Below are 11,282 nucleotides of genomic sequence, written 5' to 3'. Positions count from 1 at the left end.
ACTAGAGTAGTATTCACAATCAATACTATTAATCATTTTCTTGGAAATTTTAACACATGCTATAAGAAAAAATGAAATAAATCTAAAGAATATATTAAAATATTTCTTTTATTTGTGACACTATTTTATAATTAAGATACCAAAAATTCTATTTTAGTAATGGTGATGTGGGGAAGGTATTCTCATACATTGCTCAAAGATATTTCAGCTGTTTTTGAAAGCAATATGATAACATCTATTAAAATTAAACACATTCTTTCACCCAGCAATCTCACTGATAAAAAGCTATCTCAAAGAGTCAAAGTTACTCTATGTAAGGATATATAGGCATGGATGTGTAATGTAAGTATCCTCAATGTGGCAAAAAAAAAAAAAATTAATGATGAGTAGTCACCAATAGAAAAGTTACTGAAAACAAAATTAAAATACATCCACAATTTTAAATAGTATGCATACATTTAAAAGAACAAATAGAACTACATTACCTATCTTAAAAAGATTTTCAAGAGGTAAGCTAAGAAAAGCAAAATGCAAAGAATTATGTATGATCTTATTTTTCTAGAACAAATAACACAAATTTGTAACTTGTATATATGTATTTATAGACGTATAATCACTCAGTCATTGATTTACATGCACATGGAGAAAATCTCTAGTGTTATAATGACCTACCTCAGGGCAAGGGAGGGATTATATCAATGAGGAAAGGAGGAGGAAAGGAAATCCAAGCAAATAAAGGAAATGAAAAAGTACAGGAAAAAACTGCACTTAGGAATGAATGACATAGTCATATTTATCCATTTATGTCAAATAATATACAAGGTATATGCATAATATCATGAATCCTCAAAAAAATGCTATCCTCACGTTAGACACCTGAACTGGCTTTTTCCTTAAGTTTTAAAACATAAAATAGTCATGGAAAGACAAGTAGAAATAAAGCAAGCTTAAATATATAGGACTGAATGCCACTAGATGTCAGTAAAACCACCCCAAAAAAATATAGAAACATTTTCTTAACTGCTGGGAAAATTTGCTCTTTTATCTGCAATCTTTACCTCTTAGTATATTTGACTTGTACAATATTCAAATTCAAATTAGAAGTACAGATTACCAAAAGAGAAATACAGTTCCTTAAAAGTCAGACTATAAGCCTTATTAATAAAGGGAATATTGGTTAATTAATCCCTTAGTAAATAGGGAACCTATAGTCCCTATTTACTAAGATATCCGTAGTGTTTTCACATTATTTTTAAAAGCTCATGAAATACGCCCTTTGAAGAGATGATAAAATTTTAAATTCAATTAATCAATATATATTTATCTCATGTATTATGTATAAAATATGGAGGCAAACTGAAAGAATCATTACATTTATTGAGTTTTTAACCAAGTAGGAGAGAACAAAATGCAAATTAAGCAGAATGTTATAAATAAACCAGTGCAAAGTAATATACAGTGACACATCCACTATCTAGAAACTCAGATACAGTCACATGACTTAGTATCCCAAAACCAAGTAAATAAACAAGGAAGCTTGCTTCTAGGCAGAAAAAAAAATGCATCACAAACTTTTTCACTGAAACTCTTACTTTACTCACTACCAAGTCTCTTCATTCTTACTGTACCAACAGTATCTACTAATGGCTTGCATACATATGTTTCTAGCAGCAATAATCATAATCATAATCACAAACCAAAACTTAGAAATGACTGAAATGTGATATGTTTACTGAATGGAATATTATTCAGCAATAAAAAGGAATGAACTATTGACAGATGCTATGAGATGGATGAATCTCAAAAAAATTTTGTTTAGTGAAAGGAGTCAGACAGAAGAGACCATATACTGTGTGATTCCACTTACATAAAATATTCAGAAAAGAGCAAGCTTTAAAGACAGATATTAGCATTTTCCTGTAGCAGAGGGTAGAGGCAAGACAGTACATAGGGATTAACAGTAATGTGACACAGGAATGACAATGCAGTGATAAAAATGTATTGAAACTTATTTATAGTGATAGTTACATAACTTGATAAAATTTAAATTAGTAATTAACAATTTTCCCACAAAGAAAAGTCCATGTTCAGATTACTTTACTGGTAAATACGATTAAATTTTGAAGAAAGAAATAATACCAACCCTACAAAAATGTTTTCAGTCATTTCCCAACCCATTGGCATCCTGATACGAAATCCAGACAAAGACATGATTTAAAAACCATAAATCTATATACCGGTATTACTTATAAATACAGATGCAAAATTCCTTAACAAAATATTAGCACCAAATTCAGCAAGATATTAACAAGATTATATAGCACATCTAAGTGGGATTTAACCCAGGAATCTAAAATTGATATGACATTCAGACACTCAAAAATCACACACTTCTCTTTTGTCTTCCTGGAAGGATTTCCTAGGATCACCTGACAGACAATTTAAGGGCGGGGAGGGGAAGGGGAAGCCTGTTCCATAAATTGGTCAAATCAACGTCATCTCCAGCCAATATGAACTACTGCTAAACTATAGCTCAATTCAGAAGCATTCATGAAAAACAATGAGAAGAAACTTTTCCTACGGGCAGAACCCACATCCTTTTTGAATGGAAATAAAAGAAACCTGAGGTAGGTTTCAGACTGCCAGACAGACAGTGGCAACTGGCTAAAGTGGTTGGTCAGGGCTCAGGAGGAACAAGTCTGCAAGATTAGAGACAAGAAAATCTGGAGAAGAGGCATTTGAATGGACCAGTGGTAATGGCCACAGAGTATGTAAATCTTTTTTTGATTCATACTAATGCTCATCATAAGGTATCCACCACAGAAAAGATACTCAAAAACCAGGTGACAACCAGGTGACGAGACCACCCATTGGGTGGGTGTTATAGAGCCTCTGTTCTCAGCCATGTCAGTGATGGCAGTGGTGGGCTGTCTGCAGCAGGGAGGTGCGGGAGGTGGTGGTGGCGGCAGAAGTGCCTGTGGGAACAGCAATGGCGGTGGTGGGTCCACTGTGCCCCACGTCCCCAAGGCAGCCAAATGCACTGCCCCCACCCTAGTGCAGCCAGGTAGGACCCACCCCCAGGTCCAGAGCCCCCATGCTCTGGACACTGGCCACCACTGCTATGGGGAGGGTTCAGGCAGGAGGTGGGGCTGGGGCCTTGTTTCGTGGGCCCAGGACGGGAAGTGGGAGCAGTGCCTACCTCAGGGACCCAGTCAGCGGTGCAGTCACCGCAGCCACCCTGTGAGGCTCCTGTGCCTCAGGGGAGGCTCTGCCCAGGACCACCCGGGGCCATGTCCCAGGGGTCCACCCCACATCTGGGTGATTGCTGGGCCTGACACTCCAAACAGCAAGGCAGGCCGCAATCCATTAGAGGAGGCTAATATGGTTTGGCTGCATCCCCACTCAAATCTCATCTTGAATTTCAGTTCCCATAATTCCCACAATTTCACTGGGGGGACCTGGTGGGAGGTAATTGAATCATGGGGTCAGGTATTTCCCATGCTGTTCTCATGATAGTGAATTAAGTCTCATGAGATCTGATGGTTTTATAAAGGGGAGTTCCCCTGCACACACTCTTGCCTGCCACCATGTAAGATGTGACTTTGCTCCTCATTCGCCTTCCGCCATGATTGTGAGGCGTCCCTAGCCATGTGAAACTCTGAGTCAATTAAACCTCTTTCCTTTATAAATTACCCATTCTTGGGTATGTATGCCTTATTGGCAGCATGAGAACAGACTAATAGAGAGGTGCCCCCCTGGGCAGGGCCGTGAGCCTTTACAGGAGGAGCTCTGGGAACCCTTGAGCACTGAGGCCATGGGGGGACCTCGTGGAGATGCTGCCCCTGCCCTGGACACCGGCCTGGCCCAGCGAGGACTTGGAACCTCTACCCCAGGCTGTGAGGGGGTGAAGCTGGGGCTGCGTACTCCACAGAGCCAGTGGGAGCAAGAAGTAAGTAGCAGCCCCACCCTTCCAGGTGCAGCTGCAGCTGCCCACTGCAATGTCAGAGCAAAGTTGGAGCTGAGCCCCCATGCTATCATACCCTGGCCAGGTGTGGGCATGCTCAGGGAAGCACTGACATGCCAGCCTCCTACCACCTCGGCCCCCTCTGGACCTTGGGCGCCAACAAGCACAGGGGGAAAGCTGAGGGAGGGGCTGAGGGTGGCTCAACGCTGGCCTGCAGGTGCCCCTTGGCACAAGCAGCCTCAGTGCCATGGATAGTGGCAGTAGGCAGATGGGCTCCTGGGCAGAAGGAAGGAGGTCCCTGATAAGGCCCCATCTTCAGGCCAGGGAGGGCCTGAAGGCTGGGGGCCAAGCTGCCAGTCCCATGGACTGGAGTAGGGATTTGTGGTGCCTTTTCTGGGCCCACCCATGGCTGCCCATGAACCAATAAGCACGCACTTCCTCCCCTCTGAGTCCTATAAAAGCCCTGAGCTCAGCCAGAGCAGAGCAGAGGATGGACAGCCAATGGGACAACCAGCTGCAGAGTAGCTATCCTCCTTGCTGAGAGCTGCAAACGACGGAACAACCTGCCTGCAGAGAGGAGCCACCCACTCTGGGGCCTACTCTCTGCCAACAGCTGCAGATGATAGGACAACCAGCTACAGAGAGGAGCTACCCTCTCTGCTGATAGCTAAACACTTGGGACAACCAGCTGCAGAAAGCAGCTATCCTCTCTCTTCCGAGAACTGAACACTTGTTGGGATGACCTGCCTACAGAGAGGAGCTACCCACTCTGCTAGGAGCTGAACACTCATTGGGACACCCTGGCTACAGAGAGGAGCTGCCCACTGCAGGGCTTTCCTGAGATGTTCTATTGATCAATAAAGCTCCTCTTCATCTTGCTTACACTCCGCTGCTCTGAGTACCTCATTCTTCCTGGTCACAGGACAAGAACTCAGGACCTGCTGAGTCGCAAGACTGAAAGAGCTGCTGTAATACAAACAGGGCTGAAACATGCCCCTTTTTGCCATGTTGCAGGCAAAAAAAAAAAAAAAAAAGAAGAGAAGAGCTGCGGCCCTTTGGGGAGCCCAGACCTGGGAGCTTCCCAAGCCAGAGCTATGACTCCCTCTTTGTGGCCCTGTGGTTCCTCGTGTCTTCATGTTTCTGGGTACCACTGCATTCCCCAGTGCCAGCCGGGGAAGCTGCTTGCAGTATGCCTGGTCCAGCTGCAGACTTGCGGAGAGCTGGCACCCATGCCGGCACCTAGAGTTGCCTGCCCTGCAGCAGTGGCTGGTGTGTCTGACTGTGCAGTGGCCAGACCCCATGTTTGCTCACACATCCGTCACCACTCCACATCTGACTCCAGTCTCCCTTGGAGCCATGGGATCCAGGCCGGCAGCATGAGCTGAGCAAAGCCTGATGGAAACAAGCCCAGTGGGCCTGAGCAAACCTCAGGCAAAGGTGCCACTGGCCACAGGTTTCCAGCCAGAAAAGTGACACCCCAAAGATCTCATAATATTAGTCTGTGTACAAATGGTCCATGAATAGCAACATGGTGGAAGAGATGGACATTATCAATGAGTGCAGTATGTGGCTGCTTCTCACCAAGTCATAGGTAACAACCCCTATTGCAGATACTTTTGTCAGCAGAAGAGAGCCATGATGAACCCTCACTGTGTTAGCATCTCTCAACAAGAATAACCAGAAACTTGGTGATAAATATGTCACCCTGAATTCATTCTATGCTGGAGACAGTAATGACTATCCTTAACAGAACTGGTACCTACTTTTGAATGTGGGTTAACTTCCTTGGCTTATAGTAAGTCTGTCAGCCCCACAATGTAAGAACTTACAACTTAGTTACTAACAAAAGATCTCATATAGCATCATCACCTCAGATACAAAGACCCATTTTATGTTAAAGAGATACAACAGGCCGGCGCAGTGGCTCACGCCTATAATCCCAGCACTTTGTGAGGCTGAGGCGGGTGTATCACCTGAGGTCAGGAGTTTGAGACCAGCCTGACCAACATGGAGAAACCTCGTCTCTACTAAAAATACAAAAATTAGCTAGGCATGGTGGTGCATGCCTGTAATCTCAGCTACTCAGGAGGCTGAGACAGGAGAATCACCTGAATCCAGGAGGCGGAGGTTGTGGTGAGTCAAGATCGCACCATTGCACTCCAGCCTGGGCAACAAGAGCGAAACTCTGTCTAAAAAAATAATAAAATAAAAGAGATATAACAAGTGCACAACTGTGGCAACTACTCATCTCACCACATATTGCATTAACTGCCACAGTCTAACACAATGGTAGAATGACCTATTAAAGGTTCAGTGCGTCCTCCAGATAAGCAAAAACACTCTAGGGTCAAAGTACTAAAACAATGGCCAACGTATGGGGTGTTGTACCCAATGGCTGGAACACACAGGGCCTAAACCAAGTGGTATTAAGTAGGAATAGCCCCTCTAACCCTCTCTTTAGTGACTCATCCTCAAAATATTATTTCCATCCCTACAACCTCAGGGTCTACAAGAATATAGGAACTTGTTTCTTGGGTGGAAAGGGTATGATAATTCCACCAAGGGACATAATACAATTTTTCCAAGCCTGAAACTATGATTGCTGCCTAATCTCTTTCATACCTCATGCTGATAAATCAGAAGACAACTAAACTAGTCATAATATTGGCACAGGAGAATTATTTCAAGTATCATGGGGAGCTACACTTGCTACTAAATATGAAGCCAGAGACAACTATGCCTGGAACTCAGAGGATTCACTGATGTCTTTTGGTACTTCCATGCCTGATGACAATAGTGAATAGGCAAGTGTAGCAACCTAATGGGTCCAGAGCAGCCAAAATGCTGGCCAAAGGTACAGGAAACCGAAAATAGTAGAGAAAACAGGAGATGATGAATATAAATTAAAAACTTGAAAACAATTTCAACCAAGGGGAGTCTATTATGTTCCACTAACCCTTCCGGAGACTGTAATTAGTCATCTACTTGAAGAGTTAAAGGACAGATCGGACTTAATGTATTGGCAAGGCAGATGTGAGCAGCTTAAAGAATGGGCTGAAGCAATTGCCACTAGTTCCCTGACAAATGACTTCGGTGTAACTCTAATTTCTGTCATAACAGTGGTATCCCACAAGCCCAGAAACTTTCTAGTGCTGTAATGGCAATTCACCTCAAGCATGAGCAGTGTGTCTTTCCATCTTCTGTCTGAGGACCTTCTCTAACACTACAGAACCTGCTCCAACTCCCATCCTTCAGATGGGCAATTCTGGTATTCATTCTGACACCTTAGAAATTGAGCTCCCATTGCACCTAACAACGACCTCAATAATGCACCCCATGTTAGTTTTCCTCCTCCCGTGTTGTGCTCCCCTGCTGCCTTCTTCCTGCTCCCAAATAAAGTAACTGCATCCAAGATCTTGCCTCAATTTTTTTTTTCTGGGAAATCCACTCTACAAGGTACAAAATTTGTACAGTCAATGACCCAGCAGTTCTAGCAATGGGACCCAGCAATACCCAACAGAAATCATATATATAGTCATAAAATGGTAAACAGTAGTTCCTATATGTATTTGCAATAGATGAAAATTGGAAATAAATGTCATCAAAAGTAGAAATACTTTATAATGAAGTGTTATTCAGAAATGAAAATTAATGAATCACAGCTACACACAAAAACATAGATGTATTTCACATATATAAAAATTTGTGAAAAAAAGACCACATATATATGCCTATCAGAAATTCCATATACAGGCATTACCCCAAAAAAAGGCAACATTATTTTTTTGTTGTTGGTAAGATTCAGTGATAAAAAAAAATTTTAAAGAAAGGAATTACTACAAAAGTCAAAATAGCAGTTCATTTGGAGAGGAGGGCATAAATATTTGAGGCAAAGAAAAAGAGCTCCTGTAGTCTTAGCACTGTTCTATTACTGAACTATGTTGGTGGTTACACAGGTGTACGATCTAAAATAAACCCTCAAAATGTGTATTTTTGTGTTTTCCACTTTGTTACATTCTTAAACAGTTAATGTAAAAAATATGTTACACATCAACATTATTACACATCTAATAATAATATTATGAATAGAAGGCTGAGGATACTGTCAAAGGAATGGCTATTTTCCCCTTCCCAGGCCTGTTCTTTTGGTTTGTTTGTTTTCTTTGAGGTTTTAGATCTTATTCCATTTAGTTAATTTCAAAATCCCTCTATTAGATAATTTTTCATTACATTCTTCTTTTCATCTTTAGTCTTAGGTGAATTCATAGTATAATACATGTAATTTTTAATAACCCCTTTACTGTCATTCACCTGCCATAAAATTCACCCTTTAAGAGTACACAATTCATTGATTTTCAGTATATTCACAAAGTTGATAAACTACCAAAATTATTTAACTTGAGAATATTTTCACTGCCCCAAAGAGAAACCTCACACTCATTAATAGTCACTTCCCATCCTCATCTCCCCACAGGCATTGGCAACCACTAATCAATCTGCTTTCTAAGAATTTGCCTAATTTGAACATTTCATCTAAATCTAATCATTCAATATGTGACCTTTTGTAACTAGCTTCTTTTACTTAGCATCAGGTTTTAGAGATTCATTCATGGCATAGCATGTACAAAGGGACTTCAAAAGGTTTATGGGAAAATTGGATTAAAATGACAAATAAAAATATGTAACTTCACTTCTCGATGTAAGCTCCATCCAGTTCAAGGTACTTTTGCAAGCAATGATACCAGACATTTCGTCCATCCCTAAAGAACTGGGGGTGCTTGGAATTTAACCACATCAATGCAGTCATTTTTACTGCATCAAATGCAGTTATCCATTTATTAACTGAAGAAAAATGGGTGCCCATTAAAGATTTTTTTTAGATTACAAAACAAGAAGTCAGAAGGAGACAAACCACGACAGTAAGGTGGATGAATGACTGCACACTGAAAGTCTTTCAGAATTGCTTTTGCTTGACAAGAGGAATGAGCAGAAGCATTGTTAGGGTGGAGAAGGACTCTCTGGTAAAGCTCTCCTGGGCATTTTTCTGCTAAAGCTTCGGCTAACATTCTCAAAACATTCTCATAGTAAGTAAGCAGATGTCATTATCCTTTGGCCTGCCAGAAAATAAAATAAAATAAAATTCCCTTAGATCCCAAAAATCTGTTATCATGACCTTTGCCCTTGATTGGTCCGATTTGCCTTGACCGGACCACTTCCACTCTTGGTAGCCATTGCTTTAATTGTGTTTTGTCACAGGGTCATACTTGTAAACCCATGTTTCAATTCTTCGAATAACTGTTTCAGGATCTTGAGCCCAGTTGTTTAAAATTTCCATTGAAAGCTCAGCTTTTGTCTTCAGCTGATTTGTGTGCAATGGGTTTGGGACCCATCAAGTGGAAAGTTACCCCAACTTTAATTTTTCAGTCAGAATTGTGTACGTTGAACCAGTCGAAATGTCTATAGCTGTGGCTACTATCTGTGCCATTAATCATGGGTCCTCTTCAATTAAGTCATGAACAAGAGTAACTTTTTCCTTGCAAATTGATGTGGAGATCTGCTGCTGCAGTTTTCATGTTCAACATCATCTCATTCCTTCTTAAAAAGAGTTATCCATTTATAAACTGCTGATTTCTATAAAGCATTGTCCCCATAAACTTTTCATAAAGGATCAATGATTTTGCCATTCTTCCACCCAAGCGTCATCACAAATTTGATGTTTACTCTTGCTTCAATTTTAGCAGAATGCATCTTGTTCTGCTTTTCAAACTGATGTCTTATCTTTTGTAGTGCCTCAAACTAGATCCTGTTCAGATATATAATATCAAGTTAATACTAGTTTATTTTGGTGTAAAAAATTTTTTTGAAATCCATGCATAGATTTTTCATAATATGCATTTTCTATGAATTTTTGAAGACTCCCTGAACCGATTTTTGTTTCTTTTGCTGAATAATATCCCATTGCATGAATATATCAACTTTGTTTATAAACTCTTCCATTAAGGGACATTTGATTTGATTCTATTTTTGGCTATTCTGAATATGCTACCATAAAATTTTGTGCACAATTTTTTGTGTAGATATATTTTTTAAATTAAGTGTATACCCAGGAAATGCAATTGCTGGGTCATGTATCAACTCAATCTTAATTAACATTTTGAGGAACTATCAAACTGTGTTCCAAAGTAGATGCATGATTTTACAATCCCACTAGCAATGTATGAAAGTTCCAATTTCTCTGCATCCACATCAGTACTTGTTATCTATAACTTTTTTTTGCCAATCCACTGGATATCAAGTGCTATTTAGTTGTGTTTTTGCATTTCTGTAGTTGCTAGTGATGGTGAGCACCTTTTCATGGGTTTACTGTGTATTTTCTTGAGAGAAGCTGCTATACAAAACCTTTCCCCATTTTTAAAATGGGTTGTCTTTTTAACTGTTGAGTTCTAAAGGTTCACTATATATTGTAGATACTAGTTAATTATTATATAGTTTGCAAATATTTTCCCCATTCTGTAGGTAGTCTTTTCACTTTCTTGATGGTGTCCTTTGAAACAAAACTTTTGAACTTTGAGAAGTCCAGTTTTGTCACTTGTGATTTTAGTCATATCTAAGAAATCAATGCCTAATCCACAGAGGTAAACAAGTGCTAGAATGCAGCTCCTGATACCCAAAGCGCTTAAACCTGTGTTTCAAAAGTACAAATGTAAATACAAGCAAAGTAGTAAACTGAATGATAATCAAGCAGGGTAAAAAGTTTGATCAGACACTCTTGCATAACTCCTGATTCCAAAAGTGATATCCCAGTGACTGAAATAAAAAGCAACCTACTGCGAGACAAAATGGCTTATTTACATGTTTCAGCATTTTGACTTTAAGTAAAACTAAAAAAAAAACAAAAACAAACAAACAAAAAAAAACTTTCTGAAGCTTTCCTAACCTTAAGCATTGGCAGCTCGAATTTATACTACCTGAACACAAGAAAAACCTCTAAGCCAGGGGTTGGGTCTGAAAGTGCCCTCAAGGCACTTGGCAAAAGAACCTGCAAATTCCAATTGCAGGAAGTACTTTAAACACAGGTCTTAAAGAATTTCCACAGTTAAAGTATCAAGAAACACAAGTTAACAATAAAATCATAAAACATATGGGTAAATAAGGTATAATAACTAAAAAATAATTCACAGAATTATTAAACTGCAAATATGTATCTACAATGAGTGTATATACCGCTATTATAAAATACATGTATAAACTAAGTATTCTTAATATGTTAAATAAAACAAGACACTGAAATTGGGACAGAACAGAAGAGAATAAAAAT

General features: G+C 39.9%; 1 annotated feature.

The window, feature by feature from the left end:
* Positions 10,474-10,768: a silencer, noted in NCBI's record as "tiled region #2464; K562 Repressive non-DNase unmatched - State 24:Quies". NCBI's record gives its function as "represses a minimal TATA promoter and a strong SV40 promoter by Sharpr-MPRA in K562 cells {active_cell/tissue: K562}" and the evidence as "EXISTENCE:reporter gene assay evidence [ECO:0000049][PMID:27701403]".

This window comes from Homo sapiens, chromosome 2, assembly GCF_000001405.40.
Source record: "Homo sapiens chromosome 2, GRCh38.p14 Primary Assembly".
In the NCBI taxonomy this organism is placed as follows: Eukaryota; Metazoa; Chordata; class Mammalia; order Primates; family Hominidae; genus Homo; species Homo sapiens.
The sequence above is the reverse complement of the archived record's forward strand: the minus strand, read 5'-3'. Positions and strand labels throughout refer to the sequence as shown.